This window comes from Homo sapiens, chromosome 7 (genome assembly GCF_000001405.40).
Source record: "Homo sapiens chromosome 7, GRCh38.p14 Primary Assembly".
Classification (NCBI taxonomy): Eukaryota; Metazoa; Chordata; class Mammalia; order Primates; family Hominidae; genus Homo; species Homo sapiens.
In genome coordinates this window covers 128,872,213-128,889,280 of record NC_000007.14, presented here as the reverse complement: position 1 = coordinate 128,889,280, position 17,068 = coordinate 128,872,213, and the positions used below count along the sequence as shown (strand labels likewise).

The window sequence follows — 17,068 nt, the reverse complement described above, 5'->3', positions numbered from 1 at the left end:
TACAAATTAAACAGGAAGGTTTTTTGCAGGATAAAGGGGAGAAAGTTTGCCTTTTGGCCAATCCAAACCCCGCCCCCCTCACGACTGCTTTGCCCCCTGGGCTTGGCCTGTGACCCCCCAGCCCCCACGCTAGATCTTTGAGATCTTGGATGCATAACAGGCCCAAGCTCAGAGCCTATGACCACTGCCCTCTCATCCCTTTCTGTCCCTCCCCTCGGCCTCTCTGTCTCTTCTCTGAAAGGCTGTGAGTACCTGGGGGAGTCCTACCTGAGTAACCAGGAGTTCCCAGACCCCCGAGAACCCTGCAACCTGTGTACCTGTCTTGGAGGCTTCGTGACCTGCGGCCGCCGGCCCTGTGAGCCTCCGGGCTGCAGCCACCCACTCATCCCCTCTGGGCACTGCTGCCCGACCTGCCAGGGTAGAGCCACACCTGCCCTTCCATTCCCCCTGCTGGGGCTCCCGGGGTGCCTTTCTCACCGATTCCACTTTCCTCCCAGCCCTCCCACTGCCTGCCGCTCCACCATACTTTTCTCTCACTCTCCGACTCCCTCACCTTTGATAGAGGTCCCGGGCACGGCTGTGTGTTTGTATGTATGTGTGTGTGTATGTGTGGCTCTGTGTGTGTGTGGCTGTGTATGTGTGTGTGTCTGTATGTGTGTGTGTGTGTCTGGCTGTGTGTGTGTGGCTCTGTGTGTGTGTGGCCGTGTGTATATGTGTGTGTATGTATGTGTTGCTGTATGTGTGTATGTGTGTATCTGTGTGTGGCTGTGTGTGTTGGCCTGTGTGGGTGTATCTGTGTATCTGTGTGTGTGTGTTGCTCTGTGTGTGTGTGGCCGTGTGTATATGTGTGTGTATGTGTTGCTGTATGTGTGTATGTGTGTATCTGTGTGTGGCTGTGTGTGTTGGCCTGTGTGTTTGGGTGTATCTGTGTATGTGTGTGTGTGTGTGTGTGTTGCTCTGTGTGGGTGTATCTGTGTGTGTGTGTTGCTCTGTGTGTGTGACAGTGTATGTGTGTCTGTGTACGTGTGTGTGTGACCGTATGTGTGTCTGTGTATCTGTGTGTGTGGCTGTGTATCTGTGTGTGTATGTGTGACTGTGTGTATATGTGTGTTTGTGTGGCTGTGTATGTGTGTGTGGCCCTGTGTGTGTGTGTGTGTGTGTATGGCTGTAGCTGTGTGTATGTGGGTATGTGTGTGTGTGTCTGTATTTGTGTCTGTGTATGTGGGATGTGTGTGTGTGTGTGTGTATGTGTGTGTGTGGCTGTGTGTGGGTGTGTATGTGGGGGGGTCTCTGTGTGTGGGTGTGTGTGCATCTGTGTATGTGGGGATGTGTGTGTGGCTATGTGTTTGTATGGCTGTGTGTGTGGGTGTGTATGTGTATGTGTGTGCGTGGCTATGTGTATGTTTGTGTGGCTGTGTGTAGGTGGGTATGTGTGTATGTGTGTGTGTGTGTGTGTATGTGGCTGTGTATATGGGTATGTGTGTATGTGGGTGCGTGTATGTGTGTGTGTGGCTGTGTGTTTATGTGTGTGTGTATGAGAGTGTGGGTGTGGCTGTGTGTGTCTATGGCTGTGTGTGTATATGGGTATATGTGTGTATGTGTGTGTGTGGCTGTATGTATATGTGGGTGTGGTTGTGTATGTATGTGTGTGTGGCTGTGTGTGGGGGGGTGTAGGTGTGGCTGTGTGTGTATGTGTGGAGGGGGAGGGGCTGTGTGTGTATGTGACAGTGGCAGTTCTGTTGATGGCAGGTTTTCTGTTGCACTCCCACCTGCTGTGTGTATATGCGTGTATGTATGTGTGTGGCTGTGTGTGTGTATGTGGTTGTGGGTGTGGCTGTGTATATGGGTATGTGTGTGTGTGGCTATGTGTGTGTCTGTGGCTGTGGCTGTGTATGTGTGGAGGGGGAGGGGCTGTGTGTGTGTGTGACAGTGGAGGTTCTGTTGATGGCAGCTCTTCTGTTGGACTCCCCGCTCTGCCAGGATGCCGCTACCATGGCGTCACTACTGCCTCCGGAGAGACCCTTCCTGACCCACTTGACCCTACCTGCTCCCTCTGCACCTGCCAGGTGAGGCAGCCCCTTTAGGACCTTGGTAACCTTTCCTCCCTTGATACTCCTCTCTGGCCAGGAAGAGGCTGTCTCCTCCACTCAGGTGGCAAGGGCTACACTCTGCCCTTCACATCTCATGGGACAGGACTGGGCTCAGGTGTCCCGGGCCAAGGGAGGGTGTTTGGGCCCCTGCAGGCTCAGTAGGGGCTCCAGCCCTGGGGAAATGTGCAGTCCAGTTGAGGGTGTGATGGGCCTCTCTCCCCCAGGAAGGTTCCATGCGCTGCCAGAAGAAGCCATGTCCCCCAGCTCTCTGCCCCCACCCCTCTCCAGGCCCCTGCTTCTGCCCTGTTTGCCACAGTGAGCTGCCTTCCTCATGCGCGGCCCCCATGCCCTTCCCCGCCTCTCCCTCCCCCTTCCCTTCCTGCCAGGCCTAAGGCTGGGCCGAGCAGGGCAGGGTGGCACAGGCCCCCCACCCAGGAGGTGTGTCCCCCACAGGCTGTCTCTCTCAGGGCCGGGAGCACCAGGATGGGGAGGAGTTTGAGGGACCAGCAGGCAGCTGTGAGTGGTGTCGCTGTCAGGTATAGCAGGAGGTGGGGGGTGTGGAGTGACAGCTGGACCATAGCACCTCTGGGCCCCAGCCTAGGCAGCGAGCCAGTGTCCCTGCATCTCCTACAGGCTGGCCAGGTCAGCTGTGTGCGGCTGCAGTGCCCACCCCTTCCCTGCAAGCTCCAGGTCACCGAGCGGGGGAGCTGCTGCCCTCGCTGCAGAGGTATGGCCGCCTGTAGCCCTACCCCTTGCTTCAGCCCCTTGGCCCTGTGTCCCTCTGTCCACCCCACCTCCCTCCCCTCAGCCAGCTCTTCTCCCACCTCCCTGCCCCAACAACTGGCCCTTGCATACACCCTTGCCACCTTCAGCTTCTCCTACCTCTCCCTGTCCGGGACTGCCCAGACCATCCCTCTTCCAGGTGCTGGTTAGAGTTCCCTCAAAGCTGCCTGTCTTGGGCTGGGTGCAGCGGCTCACATTTGCAATCCCAGCACTTTGGGAGGCCAAGGTGGGAGGATCACTTGAACCCAGGAGTTTGAGGCTGCAGTGAGCTGCATTTGCACCACTGTGCTCCAGCCTGGGCAACAAAGAAGACTCTGTCTAAAAAATAAAACAAAAAGCTGCCCCTCTTCCTAACCACACCCCATTCATCATCATCATCATCATCACCACCATCATCATCATCATCAAGATACCTGACATTCAGTGAGCAGGTAGCATGTGCCAGGCCCTGAGCACTTTACGTGTATTATCTCATTTAATCAGCACAACAACTTACCAGATAAGCACTCTTAGTCCTCCTATTTTACAGACGAGAAAGTGGAGGTACAGAGAGGTAGAGAAGGTGGCAGAGTCAAGATGGACACTTGGACCATCTGGCTCTGAACTTGAGCCTTTCTTAGCCTGCCCACTGCCCCCTCGTCCCACACCCTGCGCAGTGTGGTGGTGTTTCTACAGAACCACAGAACTGTCATAGCATTTCACTTGCTCTGGGAGGGAGGCAGGACAGAGGAAATCCCCATTTAACAGATGAGGAGACTGAGGCCCGGAGAGACTGAGTTACCTTGGGCACATGGTTAGCGATGGAGCCATTCACCTGGTCCACATGCATTTATGACACAGCTGCTGCATGCCAGGTCTGTGGCCGGTGCGGGCTGCACTGGGCAGTGCCTGCTGCCTGGAGCTTGGTCTTGAGAGCAGGTAGGAACAGAACAGGATTAGAACCCAGGTGTTCTGAACCCCTCCCAGTGCCTTTCCCCTCCACAACAGACAGGAGTTCTGCCCCATCGCACCTTCCCGCCATATCCCTGCAAACTCACTCCTGGCGCCACGTGCCTAGCTGACCACTGAGGGTGGGGGCCAGGAGCAGATGTCCAGATCTCAACCTCCGAGCTCGTCCCTGCCCACTTTGCACCACAGGCTGCCTGGCTCATGGGGAAGAGCACCCCGAAGGCAGTAGATGGGTGCCCCCCGACAGTGCCTGCTCCTCCTGTGTGTGTCACGAGGGCGTCGTCACCTGTGCACGCATCCAGTGCATCAGCTCTTGCGCCCAGCCCCGCCAAGGGCCCCATGACTGCTGTCCTCAATGCTCTGGTACTGGAAGCCTGGGGCGGGAGGGGAAAGGCGAGGAGGGAGCCCTGGGCCCACACCTCCCTGCCGCTGCTGGGCCGGGTGGCAGAGACAGGCAGTTGGAGAAGTGGCCTCCGTCCTTGTGCACACTCCACTCCCTGGGATCAGGGGGAGGCTGGAGATAGAGGACTCCACCCCTGCCTCGCTGCCAGCCTGAAGGACCCCTGGTCCCGTTCTGCTCTCACTCCACCCCAAAGACTGTGAGCATGAGGGCCGGAAGTACGAGCCTGGGGAGAGCTTCCAGCCTGGGGCAGACCCCTGTGAAGTGTGCATCTGCGAGGTAGGTGAGGGCACAGTGGTGGGGCTGGGGCACCTCGTCGGGGGGGAGTGGGCAGCATGGGATGAGGCCCAGCCAAGCTGGTCACTGCATGGAGCAGGCACTCTGGGGGCCAAAGGAGTGTATCCCTGTGGCCAGGAGACAAGGCAGGGTTGGGGCCAACAGGGCCAGGAGGTCTGGGTTTAGACAAGGAGCGCAGGTTCCAAGTGTGCAGGAGGCCGTAGGTGGCCCCCCTGGCTGCAGTGCAGGGCGGGTGTGTATGGCCGGAGAGCCACCTGGGACGTGGCTAGGGGTCATATTGTGGAGATTCTATTTGCAAGGCCATGGAAGGGCTTGGAGCAGGCAAATGACATCACAGGTCAGGGTACTAAGCCATGGGCCTGGGGAGGAGGATGGCATGAGCCTGCCGGAGGATCAAAGGTCACATGAGGGCTCAGGCCCAAGTGACTTAAAGGAGAAGGAGACATCATCTCAGAGACTAGGGCATGGGGTGAGGAGCACGTCTAGAAGACACTGAGTCTCTCTTCAGCCTTGAGTTCAGGGCCCAAGACATGTCCCGGAAGAGGCTGCAGCAGGCAGAGGGAGGGGCCGGAAGTCCCGGCCAAGGGCAGCTCTGGGTTTTTGTGGCCCAGGACCCACCGCTGCTCACTCATTCTTGTAGCCACAGCCTGAGGGGCCTCCCAGCCTTCGCTGTCACCGGCGGCAGTGTCCCAGCCTGGTGGGCTGCCCCCCCAGCCAGCTCCTGCCCCCTGGGCCCCAGCACTGCTGTCCCACCTGTGCCGGTGAGTCCAGGGATGTGGGGGTAGATGAGATATGAGGTTAGGGCTGCCACCCCCTGCCGCCCTTCCTCACCAGTCCCAGCCCCAGATTCTTCCTGACTCCAGTGGACTGTTCTGGAACCCTATGCCTGGCCGGCGAGGGCTGCACCATCCCTAAGGGAACTGGGGAAGCTGACAGGAACCCTTTGCCTCTCCGCAGCTGGGTGCAGTTTGTGGAGCATCTTGGCCAGCAGGTGGCGCTGCAGGGCGACAGTTGTGCTGAGACGTGAGGCCCAGGCAGGCAGGGGGTAGCCCAGCCACAGGGGTGGGCGAGCTTTTTTTGTTGTCGTTGTTAGAGTAAAAATTTATTAAGATTGGGGGGAAAAGTAAAGAAACAGTTTTATTTTTATTACAAATATTGAAAGATGGCCAATTTCTGTCTCCTGGATTTAATAGTTGTTTACCTAACACAGCCATTTTACATTTGTTGTGGAGGGAATTTTTTTCTGTTTCTGGTCCTATACCAACACTGAAATGATAACCTACCTTTGCAATACAGGTGAACGTTATCCTTACATAGAAAAAACAGGCCGAGGTTGGTAGCTCACGCCTGTAATCCCAGCACTTTGGGAGGCCAAGGTGGGAGGATCACAAGGTCAAGAGATCGAGACCATCCTGGCCAACATGGTGAAACCCCGTCTCTACTAAAAATACAAAAATTAGCTGGGCATGATGGGGCATGCCTGTAGTCCCAGCTACTCGGGAGGCTGAGGCAGGAGGATAGCTTGAACCCGGGAGGCAGAGGTTGCAGTGAGCTGAGATGGTGCCACTACACTGCAACCTGGCAACAGAGCGAGATTCTGTCTCAAAAAAAAAAAAAGAAAGAAAAAACATACTTTTTTTTTTAATGATAATCCTATTTTCTCCAATTTGGTTTTTTTATTTGGGTTTTGGTTTTTTTGAGACGGAGTCTCGCTTTGTCGCACAGGCTGGAGTGCGGTGGCACAATCTCGGCTCACTGCAACCTCTGGATTCGAGGGATTCACCTGCCTCAGCCTCCCGAGTAGCTGGGATTATAGGCATGCGCCATCAAGCCTGGCTAATTTTTGTATTTTTAGTAGAGATGGGGTTTTAACATGTTGGCCAGGCTGGTCTCGAACTCCTGACCTCAGGTGATCCACCCGCCTCAGCCTCCGAAAGAGCTGGATTACAGGTGTGAGCCACCTCGCCGACTTTTCTGTTTTTTGTTTGTTTGTTTGTTTGTTTGTTTTTTATGGTGGTAAGACACTAAAATGTACAATCCTAACCATTTTTAAGTGTACAGTTTGTGGTATTAAATACGTTCATAATGCTGTGCAGTCATCCCTGGCATCCATCAGGGAGGGCTGCTCTGATCAACACTTGCTAGGGGGTGCTTCAGGGGAAGGGAAGAAGACTAACATTGATTAAGCACCTGTTCCATGCCACAGACTGTACTTGGTGCTCTTAATAAAGTCTCTCGCTTCATTTTCATAGTTACCCAGTGAGGGAAGTATTATTAATCTCTTTTTACAGATTAAGAAACTGAGGCTCAGAGAGGTGGATTAATCCAACCTAATAAGCACAGGCACTGAGTGCTGGCATCAGGATTCGAACCCGGGATGCCTGGCTGTGTGCTTCCCTGCGCAGTTGTAGCCACACTGTATTACAGATAGCGGGAGGGAGAGCAGGCCGCAGACTGGCCATTTTTAGTGACCTCAGGCTAAGGAAGCCATGGTTGGTCTGTTTCCAGTCACCTTGCACCCCCACCCGGCCCCAAATAATAGCCTAGCAAAGTTTCTTTTAAAACGTGTAAACTTGACTGAATTGAAGAGAAAGAGGACTTATCCTCCCTGGAGTCAAGGTGCTGGGATATGGGTATGCTCAGGAGTTCGAGTTAGAAACCTGGGGACACAGTGCATGGGGACAGCTGGGATTTCCAGCCCTGTGCCCCTCTTTCTGTCCCGCACTCTGGATTCTTGTCTTCACAGAGGCCTTGAGTAACTGTTCAGAGGGCCTGCTGGGATCTGAGCTAGCCCCACCAGACCCCTGCTACACGTGCCAGTGCCAGGTGAGCCCTCCTGCCTTGGGGACTCACAGAGCCCCTCTTCTTCCTTCTCTGTGGGCTGTGGCTGCCACTCCTCTCCCGCAGCAGCTCCAGGGCTCTCCATTCGCCCTGACATTTGCCCACTTGTCCTGACTGTCACATCCTGCCTATGCCTTACTCCTCCACCAGCTCCCTGAGATCTGCCATTCTCTACCTCTTGTGTTCACATGGGCAGGACCTGACATGGCTCTGCATCCACCAGGCTTGTCCTGAGCTCAGCTGTCCCCTCTCAGAGCGCCACACTCCCCCTGGGAGCTGCTGCCCCGTATGCCGGGGTAAGTGCCCAGCCTTGGCCTCCACCCTCAGAGAGGAGCCCAGGGGGAACACAGGAAGGGGAGGCATTCATGGGCCAAGCGGGCAGCCCAGGGTTTGTACTCGGTTTCTAGAACAGAATGCAGGGTTCATTCTTTTCTAGAAATGGAGGGGGGCTGTTCTTGAGGTGGAGAAGAGACCCATGAGGCAGGGGGAAGCTGGGATGAAGCCTAGATTCTCAAGGTCTGGCCTGATGCCTGTCAGGGGGCTCAGGATCCCCAGGCCCATGAAGAGGGCATTGCACTGCTGAGCGGGCAGCTGGCCCAGAGTGGGGTTCCAGCCTCTGGCCCTTTGGGCTCCTAGGACCCTAGAGACATCCTGAGCTCTGATGTGAGGCCTGATGTCTAATAGGCCCTGTGGATATTGGCTGAAGAAATCAACACCATCAGGGTGGTAGGGACACGGAGTGGGTGCTTTCCTGCCGTGAAATGCTGGGTAAGCTCCAAGGAGGGAGGATACAGCAGGAGGGACAGTGCCTGCCCATCCCATGTCTCCCCCCTCAGAATGTGTGGTGGAGGCCGAGGGCCGGAGAGTGGCAGATGGAGAGAGCTGGCGGGACCCCAGCAATGCGTGCATCGCCTGCACCTGCCATGTGAGCTGGGGTGGGCCTGGGAGGGTGGAGGATCTCGCAGATGGATAAAGGGAGGAGTGTCCAACACTCCACCAGCAGATATGGGGTCTTTAAGGGTCAGGGGCATCCCTGCACCGGGGCATGGAGCCGAAGGCTGGATTTCATTCCCCTCTTGAACTGTGAAGAATGTATTGTGGGAGGGGCAGGCAGAAGTCCATGCCCAGAGGCCCCCAGAAGCATGAGGCTGGGGACTCCGGCCCTGCAGAAAACCCCAGAACAATGATGTCTGTCCTCAGCGGGGCCATGTGGAGTGCCACCTCGAGGAGTGCCAGGCCCTCTCCTGCCCCCATGGCTGGGCGAAGGTGCCCCAGGCTGACAGCTGCTGTGAGCGATGCCAAGGTGCGCAGCCAGGGTGATGGGGGAGGGGTAAGCCAGACCTTCTGGGCATGTGGGAGGAGCAGCTGACCCTCCCAGCTCCTATCCCTTCAGCTCCCACCCAGTCCTGCGTGCACCAGGGCCGTGAGGTGGCCTCTGGAGAGCGCTGGACTGTGGACACCTGCACCAGCTGCTCCTGCATGGCGGGCACCGTGCGTTGCCAGAGCCAGCGCTGCTCACCGCTCTCGTGTGGCCCCGTGAGTGCCGCAATCTAAAATGGTGGGGAGGGTCAGGGTGGGGGCACATGGTACCGCCATCCTGGTGTGACCAGGCATCAGAGAGGGAGGCTGGGCTCCTGCCGCCAGCTGGGAGCTGGGGACAGTGCTGTTCCCAGTGCGACCACGATGTGGTGCCCTGACCTCACTCACAGGGAGCCTGGGAGCCAGAGTCCTGGAGATCCCTGGAGACTCCTGGGAGATGCTTGGTTTTCTGGGAGGGTCTGCGAGAGGCATGGCGGGGAGGGCGGTGTGTCTGACAGTGTCTGGGGCTGAGTGCAGGACAAGGCCCCTGCCCTGAGTCCTGGCAGCTGCTGCCCCCGCTGCCTGCCTCGGCCCGCTTCCTGCATGGCCTTCGGAGACCCCCATTACCGCACCTTCGACGGCCGCCTGCTGCACTTCCAGGGCAGTTGCAGCTATGTGCTGGCCAAGGACTGCCACAGCGGGGACTTCAGGTGTGCATCCCCTGTCTCTCTTCTCCCCAACCCCTACACCCAGCCCTGCTGACCATTGGCACCTGGGACTTTCCTGCCCACAGTGTGCACGTGACCAATGATGACCGGGGCCGGAGCGGTGTGGCCTGGACCCAGGAGGTGGCGGTGCTGCTGGGAGACATGGCCGTGCGGCTGCTGCAGGACGGGGCAGTCACGGTGAGCAAAGCCGAGGAGTGGAGGAAGGTGGATCCTGTGCTGTCCACCCATGTGCCTCGACATCACCCCTCCTCCCACCTCCTTTATCCTCCAGGTGGATGGGCACCCGGTGGCCTTGCCCTTCCTGCAGGAGCCGCTGCTGTATGTGGAGCTGCGAGGACACACTGTGATCCTGCACGCCCAGCCCGGGCTCCAGGTGCGGCTCCAGGGCGAGTCTGGGTGGGCTGCCTGCTGGGAGCTTCAGTCCTGTTTAGGCCTCTGTATCTGTAGAGGGGGTGGGGATGCCAGCTACCTCCTAGCCAAAAAAGGCAAGGAGTGGGGTACAGGGGTGTGAGGGGAGGTGGATCAGGGTCAGAGATCTCCCCAGGCAGTCAGAGGAGTTCTGAGTTCTGAGCCCGATTTCTAATCTCGGCTCAGCCTCTTAAGCCACCACCAGCCTCCTCTGGGCCACAGATTTCTCGTCTGTAAAGTGGGGAATGGGAAGGGTCAGTGGCAGTGGGGAGGATGTCAGCTGAAGTCTCCTGGGGGGGTGTCTCAGGTTCCTTCCAACTCTCATGTGGAAGAGTAATTTGCCCCCTGCCCCCAGCAGGAAACACAACTCGTAAATTCGTAGAATAAGGGTGTACACTTCTAATCCGGACCCTAATTGTGCTTTGTCCTCTGCAAGGCCCGAATGCCCATGAGAAAGTGAATCCCCGGAAGGGGGTTGCATTTCACCTGGGGCCCAGTGCAGGGATGGCAGCAGGAGAAGGTGCCCTCATGCAGGAGCTGTGGGCAGCTCCTCCTGTCATCTGTCTTTGCCCAGGGCTGGCACAGAATGTATCCACTTGGCCTTGGCCAGGGTGGTGTTTCTTCCAAGGGGAGCCTCCACCTGTCCATTCTCCTCCCCTACAGCACTGGCCGCACTGAACACAGTGCCTGGGGCCATGATGGACCCTGGGCTTCTTAAGGCCCCTGTCCTTCCCTGCTCCCCAGTCTCAGGCCTCTCCACACAGGTGCTGTGGGATGGGCAGTCCCAGGTGGAGGTGAGCGTACCTGGCTCCTACCAGGGCCGGACTTGTGGGCTCTGTGGGAACTTCAATGGCTTTGCCCAGGACGATCTGCAGGGCCCTGAGGGGCTGCTCCTGCCCTCGGAGGCTGCGTTTGGGAATAGCTGGCAGGTGAGTGGTACAGGAACCGGGGATGGGGATTAGGGGAGACGCAGCTGAGCATGAGTCTCAGAGCAACCCTCTGGCATGGAAAGCAGGGAAGGGGGGCGAAGTCACACAAGATAGGCTTTTGGGCTTTCAGGGAGGTGTGGGGGCTTCTTGCCTGTCTTGGTGCTGGAGAGGTAGGGTGGCTTGTCAAAAGAGGCCTCATTGGCCGGGCAGGGTGGCTCATGCCTATAATCCCAGCACTTTGGGATGCCGAGGTGGGTGGATCACCTGAGGTTGGGAGTTTGAAACCAGCCTGACCAACATGGAGAAACCCCATCTCTACTAAAAATACAAAATTAGCCCAGCCTGGTGGTGCATATGCCTGTAATCCCAGCTACTCGGGTGGCTGAGGCAGGAGAATCACTTGAACCCAGGAAGTGGAAGTTGTGGTGAGCTGAGATCGTGCCACTGCACTCCAGCCTGAGCAACAAGAGCAAAATTCTGTCTCAAAAAAAAAAAAAAAAAAGAAGGCTTGTTACCTGAACCCTCAAGCCTTGCTTTGCCACTCACTGGCTGTGTGACCTTGGACAAGTGCTGACCTACTCTGGCCTTGGTCTGTCCTTCTGTAAAATGGGGACAAAAAGAAGGTAGACAGTACTTCATTTGCTGTTCTTTTAGGGAGGTTTTGGGGACTAAAGCAAATGACTGGGTGGGAAGTGCTTTGAAGAGCACGGCATGCAGAGGCCAGCTGCCAGTGGTGCTGTCACGTCAGGGCTGCTCTCCCCACCCAGGTCTCAGAGGGGCTGTGGCCTGGCCGGCCCTGTTCTGCAGGCCGAGAGGTGGATCCGTGCCGGGCAGCAGGTTACCGTGCCAGGCGTGAGGCCAATGCCCGGTGTGGGGTGCTGAAGTCCTCCCCATTCAGTCGCTGCCATGCTGTGGTGCCACCGGAGCCCTTCTTTGCCGCCTGTGTGTATGACCTGTGTGCCTGTGGCCCTGGCTCCTCCGCTGATGCCTGCCTCTGTGATGCCCTGGAAGCCTACGCCAGTCACTGTCGCCAGGCAGGAGTGACACCTACCTGGCGAGGCCCCACGCTGTGTGGTGAGGGGGTGATGCCCGCTGCAGGTTGGGGGAGGCTCAGCACAGAGAAGAAGGGCAGCCCGGAGGGCTCAGGGCAGGACCAGGCCGGGTATGGCGAGTCTCGCAGGGGTACGCACAGCAACTGGGGCAGTTTCAGGTGCCTTGGTAACCCCGCCTCCCACTCCCCCTGCAGTGGTAGGCTGCCCCCTGGAGCGTGGCTTCGTGTTTGATGAGTGCGGCCCACCCTGTCCCCGCACCTGCTTCAATCAGCATATCCCCCTGGGGGAGCTGGCAGCCCACTGCGTGAGGCCCTGCGTGCCCGGCTGCCAGTGCCCTGCAGGCCTGGTGGAGCATGAGGCCCACTGCATCCCACCCGAGGCCTGCCCCCAAGTCCTGCTCACTGGAGACCAGCCACTTGGTGCTCGGCCCAGCCCCAGCCGGGAGCCCCAGGAGACACCCTGAGCCAGGACAGTGCCTGATAAGGGTTCATCAGGCCAGGAGTCTCCCCTTGGCGAGCAGTTCCCACCCTGGTTAGGGCTATGGAGAGAATGCCCTGCCTGGACACTGGAGCCTGGGCCCCTGCCCTGCAAAGACCCCCGCCATGTTGAGTCACCAGCAGTAAACTCTAGGCCTGCCCGAAGGCTTCCTTGTGTGTGTGTGTATTTCCTCCTGGTGCTGGGACAGAGGCTGGGCTGCCAGGAACATGGGGTCCAGTGATCAGTGGCCGCAGAATCACGGCACCATGCTTACTCCTTGCACCTGCATGCCTGGGCTGCCCCACCCAGCCACTCCCTGGTGCTGTCTGGGAAACCCTGCAGTGGGTAGAAGGAGGACCCTGGTGCCCTGGTCTTAGCCCTGTGCTCATTCTGTGTAGCAGGCATGACGTGTGGCCCCATGTGGTACCTTCTGTGGATCCATGTGGGATCCTGCAGGGGCTGAGGAACCACGGAGAAGGGGCTGCATCAGAGAATGGCCTCCCCCTTCCTTGTGGCTTGGGGATACTGAGTGTGCAGGCACCTTCTGGGCCACTCTGAGAGCTAGTGACACAGGGACCCTATGCCTGGGGTGAGAAACAGAAGCAATAGACCACAATGCAGTGTGGACATGTACCTGCGTGTGCACACAGAAACACACATCCCTCAGAAACCCAGATAAGCACGTGCAATGCATACCTGCCTGCCTTCACAGCCACACCCACCCTGGGCAGACATATGGGCAGTAGACACTGGCAGCATGTAAAGACGTCACTGTAGGGAGGGAACATGGGTTTTGAGATAGAAAAAGTCCAGAATTCAAGTTTTCTTTGCTGCCTACCAGCTCTGTGACCTTGGTGTTTTAGGGACCTTGGTCATGAGGTCAGGGGACTCCATCCTCATTGCTCCCTGCTATTCCAACAGGGAGTGAAGGGCTTTGTGCTCAGGCAAGGACGCAAAAGAGCGCCAGGTTGAATTGGAGGCCACTCAGCCTGATTGCTCTTTCATTGACGCTGTTTTCTCTTCTGGCCAAGAGGAGGGTCTGCTCTGTTCTCTCACGGAATGGGGACAAAGTAGCCAGCAGGCAAATCTGCTCACGACAGGGCAGGATGTAAAGATGGCAGAGCTCCTGCACTCAGCCCCTCTCCTGATTAGATAACTTAAATGACCTGTCTATTCATCTGCGAGATGAGGATGATAGTAACAAGCGTCTGGTATGTGTTGGGGAATGAACAGTGATGCATGGACAGCACTTACTAGGTGGACAGCATGGATAAGCATGTGGGTAGTGCTCGCTGGGGCAGGGCCTCTTACCACTCGCCTCTTGCTGATGGACGGCCTGGGCTCCCGGGACCATGTCTTCCCAGAGGGTATCACATCCATCCATCTCCAGAAGAAAAAAATGCTGCCACATGTTAAGACAAGCTATTCCTTTTTTTTTTTTTTTTTTTTTTTTTTAAGAGACAGGATCTTGCTCTGTCACTCAGGCTGGAATACAGTGGCACGATCACAGCTTACTGCAGCTTTGACCTCCCAGCCTCAATCAATCCTCCCATCTCAGCCTCCCAAGTAGCTGTGACTACAGGCGCGTGCTACCACTTCTGGCTAACTTTTTTTTTTTTTTTAAGAGGTGGGGTCTTGCTATGTCACCCAGGCTGGTCTCAAATTCCTGGGCTCAAGCCATCCTCCCACCTCATCATCCCAAAGTGGTGGAACTGCAGATGTGAAGCACCACACTTGGCCTAGGAGAAGTTGCTTTCTGAGTCAGTCTTCTTGCCTATAAAGTGGGGATAATAATAGAGCCTGCTTCATAGAGTTGCTGCAAGGAAGGATTATATGTACGAAGCATCTTCATTCCCGCACAAGCTAAACTGTTGGTAGCGGCTGCTGTTGCTACCCATATTGGGCATATTGTGTGCCCAAATAATGCAGCTGTGTGGTTGATGTGCATATGTATGCTTGTACAGTATATGTCAAACAAATGCTCACTGGGGGCTGTAAACAAGCATATGCGTATACCTCCCTCTTTCGGGGTCACACTGCTCACTCCACGCTGCCACTTGTAGGGCCATAAAAGCCATCTCAGAGACAGGTCAGAGTCTATGAGGCTTGGCCGCCGTCCAGCCAGGGCTCAGGTGTCAGGCCCTGCATGATTGAGATCAGAGCCTTTGTCCTTCCTTGCTCCTGGCTCTTGGTTTCCTGTCCTCCGCTTCCCTCCAGGCTCCGCATGGTGCAGGCAGCCACCCCGGGGGCCTCAGGGCTCCCCTGCAGCCCCAGACAGGCCTTGGCTTTGTACCAGTATCTCTTCTGGTGCCCCGCAAGCCCAGGCCAGCTCAGGGCTGCACTTTGGCAGGTGAGGGAGGGGCACTGCCTCAGAAGGAAGGAGACAGGCGGGGACCTGACACCATCTTGCCCCTCCAGGTGCAAGAGGGCCGCGGGTATCCCCCAGGGCTGGAGCTGCCCCCTGTACTGCTGCAGATGGAGTGGAGCCGGCGGGCCCAGGAGCAGGTAAGGGCTGGCTGGGGGTGTGGCTGAGGCCAGGGTGGGTGCCCCCTCACGCCCTGGCACCCCATCTTCCTGCAGCTCCTGTGGGACTTGGAACTGCTGACTGGTGTGGAGCTGGGCCTCTTCTGGCCACCCCAGGCCCAGTTTTTCGGTCCGAGGGGCCAGGCCCAGCAAGCATGGAGCCAGTGCTGTCAGCCAGGTGGTAGCACAGGTGGGGACCCTGAGCAGCCGGTGAGTGGGTGAGGGGGCACGGCGGGGACAGAGGTTCTGGGAACACTGGGGCCCTGCTGTGGTGAGGGCAAGCGGAAGGGGCAGGGTTTTAGAGACAGGGCTGGGTTTGAATCTCCACACTGACCACCCCCGTGGGCTCTGAGTTTACCTTTCCTCAGCTAGAAAATGCCCACGAGGCCAGGCGTGGTGGCTCACGCCTGTAATCCCAGCACTTTGGGAGGCCGAGGTGGGCGGATCACCTGAGGTCGGGAGTTCGAGACCAGCCTGACCAACATGGAGAAACCCCGTCTCTACTAAAAATACAAAAATTATCCAGGTGTGACAGCATATGCCTGTACCTGTAATCCCAGCTACTCAGGAGGCTGAGGCAGCAGAATCAGTTGAACCTGGGAGGTGAAGGTTGCAGTGAGCCGAGATCGCACCATTGTACTCCAATGTGGGCAACAAGAACCAAACTCCGTTTCCCCCAAGCCCCCCGGCCAAAAAAAAAAAAAAGAAAAAAAAAGAAAACGCCCACAAGAAGAGATCTTTCTCTAAGGGCTGTCGGGAGGAAGAGTGGACTCATGGGCTATGCCTGGCACACAGGGCCTGCTCTTTCCAGGCAGGCCGTTATTCTCATTCCACAGTTAACAACTGTCTTGGTCAAATCACCTGTGTGGTGATATCTGGAAGCCTTTCCATGTTACCGCAGCGTGGGAGGAAAGTAGCCTGGCAGGGCCCCAGAGAGCAAAGGCACTGATGCCCAGTGTGCGCCTGAGACACAGGGGCTGAGAGCCCCAGCCGCTGGCCCCTCCCTCCAGGGCTGCAGCTGGGCTGAGCCTCCAGGAGGGGGGTGCTGTGGTGACTGGGCCCAGAACAGAGCTGGGAATTAGGAATGTGGGTCCCAGTCCTGGCTCAGCCACCAGCTGTCTGAGTTACTTTGGGCAGGTTGGTAGCCCTCTCTGGGCCAAGGCACTCTCCACTGTAGCAGGAGGGGTGTTCGTGGTGCAACTTAGGAAGGGTTCAGCCGACGTCGCTGGAAAGAACTGTGGTCTCATCTGAGGCTCAACCGGGCAGGAGGGATCTGTTTCCAAGCTCCTTTGCATGGAGGGGAAGCAGGGGTCACAGAGGGCATGAATTCCAGGAGGCAGGGATCATTTAGGGGCCATTTTAGAGGCTGGCTGCCACACTGGGGGATGGAGCCCTGTGGACTAGGGTGCCCCCAAACCTTCCAAAATTCTAGGCTGCATCCTCTACCCCAGGACAGGGACTCCCTGAGCCAGAACCATCAGCTCCTGGAGGGGTGAGTCTCCCCGGGGAATCCTGCCTTTCCCTCTGTGAACTGGGCTCTTTCCCTGTCACCTTCTGCAGTCCTGCCCGGTGCCCCTCATTACGCCTCCTGGGCTCTTAGTTGCACCCATGGTTGCCCCACAGCCCTTGGAAAGGTTAACCTCCAAACTCCAGCTCCCAGGATCTGGTGATGGGGGAGGAGGGAGGGTACTGGGGGCGGCCACCCGGGACTCAAGTGTTTGGATGCTGGGGTGGGGGTCTCGGGAGACTGGCAGGCAGACTCCCTCCCATTCCAGAGCCGATGGGCCCAGAGAGGTGCATCAGAGGTAGCCCTTGAACTCCTGTAGGGGGCAGGCCGGAGACCTCTCATCAGCCCCAGATCTGGGTGAAACCGGGAGTGGTGCAGACCAAGGGTGGGAGAGCCCTGGAGGACCTGCAGAGCCCACACGCGGTACGTCATCAGACAGCCAGGAGGGCAGGGGGCCCCTGGGGCTGGGGCAGCCAGACTGGATTGGGATGAGGCAGGAAAGTCCTCTCCCCAAGTCGCAGGACTTCATTCTTCACTCATTCGTCATCTCACACTTCCTGATGGGAATGCCGGGACACCCAGCGATGGCAAGTAGGTTTTATTTGATGTGCCAATTCCACCTGGTTGGTACCAGCTGTCTTAGGCACTGTGTCCAGTAGGATTCTGATGCTAAACTGGGGTTCAGGGGAGAAAGTTCAGGAATGAGCATCACTGGCTGCCCGGGGATGAGGGAACAGAATACCAACTCCAGGCCACCTATTTGCCACCCTTCAGCCAGGCACAGGC

The 17,068-nt window shown here is 57.3% G+C and overlaps 1 protein-coding gene across 1 annotated transcript in view, besides 4 other annotated features; it reads left to right on the top strand.

Moving 5' to 3' along the window:
- The window catches only part of KCP (kielin cysteine rich BMP regulator), a 33,845-nt gene extending 21,429 nt beyond the window's left edge, over positions 1–12,416 (top strand). Inside the window, exons 22-40 of the mRNA NM_001366122.1 lie at positions 242–418; positions 1,981–2,066; positions 2,315–2,405; positions 2,544–2,626; positions 2,724–2,817; positions 4,011–4,184; positions 4,418–4,500; positions 5,159–5,279; positions 7,265–7,344; positions 7,556–7,655; positions 8,196–8,284; positions 8,560–8,662; positions 8,753–8,895; positions 9,196–9,368; positions 9,452–9,563; positions 9,658–9,759; positions 10,559–10,723; positions 11,491–11,797; positions 11,970–12,416. Of these exons, the coding sequence (NP_001353051.1) occupies positions 242–418; positions 1,981–2,066; positions 2,315–2,405; positions 2,544–2,626; positions 2,724–2,817; positions 4,011–4,184; positions 4,418–4,500; positions 5,159–5,279; positions 7,265–7,344; positions 7,556–7,655; positions 8,196–8,284; positions 8,560–8,662; positions 8,753–8,895; positions 9,196–9,368; positions 9,452–9,563; positions 9,658–9,759; positions 10,559–10,723; positions 11,491–11,797; positions 11,970–12,238 (2,552 nt within the window). The 3' untranslated portion in view covers positions 12,239–12,416. The remainder of the gene's footprint in view (positions 1–241; positions 419–1,980; positions 2,067–2,314; positions 2,406–2,543; positions 2,627–2,723; positions 2,818–4,010; positions 4,185–4,417; positions 4,501–5,158; positions 5,280–7,264; positions 7,345–7,555; positions 7,656–8,195; positions 8,285–8,559; positions 8,663–8,752; positions 8,896–9,195; positions 9,369–9,451; positions 9,564–9,657; positions 9,760–10,558; positions 10,724–11,490; positions 11,798–11,969) is intronic.
- Positions 3,963–4,562: an enhancer, noted in NCBI's record as "H3K4me1 hESC enhancer chr7:128524773-128525372 (GRCh37/hg19 assembly coordinates)". NCBI's record gives its function as "activates a minimal SCP1, AML or CMV promoter by ChIP-STARR-seq in naive H9 embryonic stem cells {active_cell/tissue: H9 hESC(naive)}" and the evidence as "EXISTENCE:reporter gene assay evidence [ECO:0000049][PMID:30033119]".
- Positions 4,787–5,046: an enhancer, noted in NCBI's record as "active region_26607". NCBI's record gives its function as "activates an Ori minimal core promoter by ATAC-STARR-seq in GM12878 lymphoblastoid cells {active_cell/tissue: GM12878}" and the evidence as "EXISTENCE:reporter gene assay evidence [ECO:0000049][PMID:35858748]".
- Positions 5,352–5,646: a silencer, noted in NCBI's record as "tiled region #1680; HepG2 Repressive DNase unmatched - State 1:Tss". NCBI's record gives its function as "represses a minimal TATA promoter and a strong SV40 promoter by Sharpr-MPRA in HepG2 cells {active_cell/tissue: HepG2}" and the evidence as "EXISTENCE:reporter gene assay evidence [ECO:0000049][PMID:27701403]".
- Positions 5,497–5,606: an enhancer, noted in NCBI's record as "active region_26606". NCBI's record gives its function as "activates an Ori minimal core promoter by ATAC-STARR-seq in GM12878 lymphoblastoid cells {active_cell/tissue: GM12878}" and the evidence as "EXISTENCE:reporter gene assay evidence [ECO:0000049][PMID:35858748]".
- Positions 12,417–17,068: the final 4,652 nt, after the last annotated feature.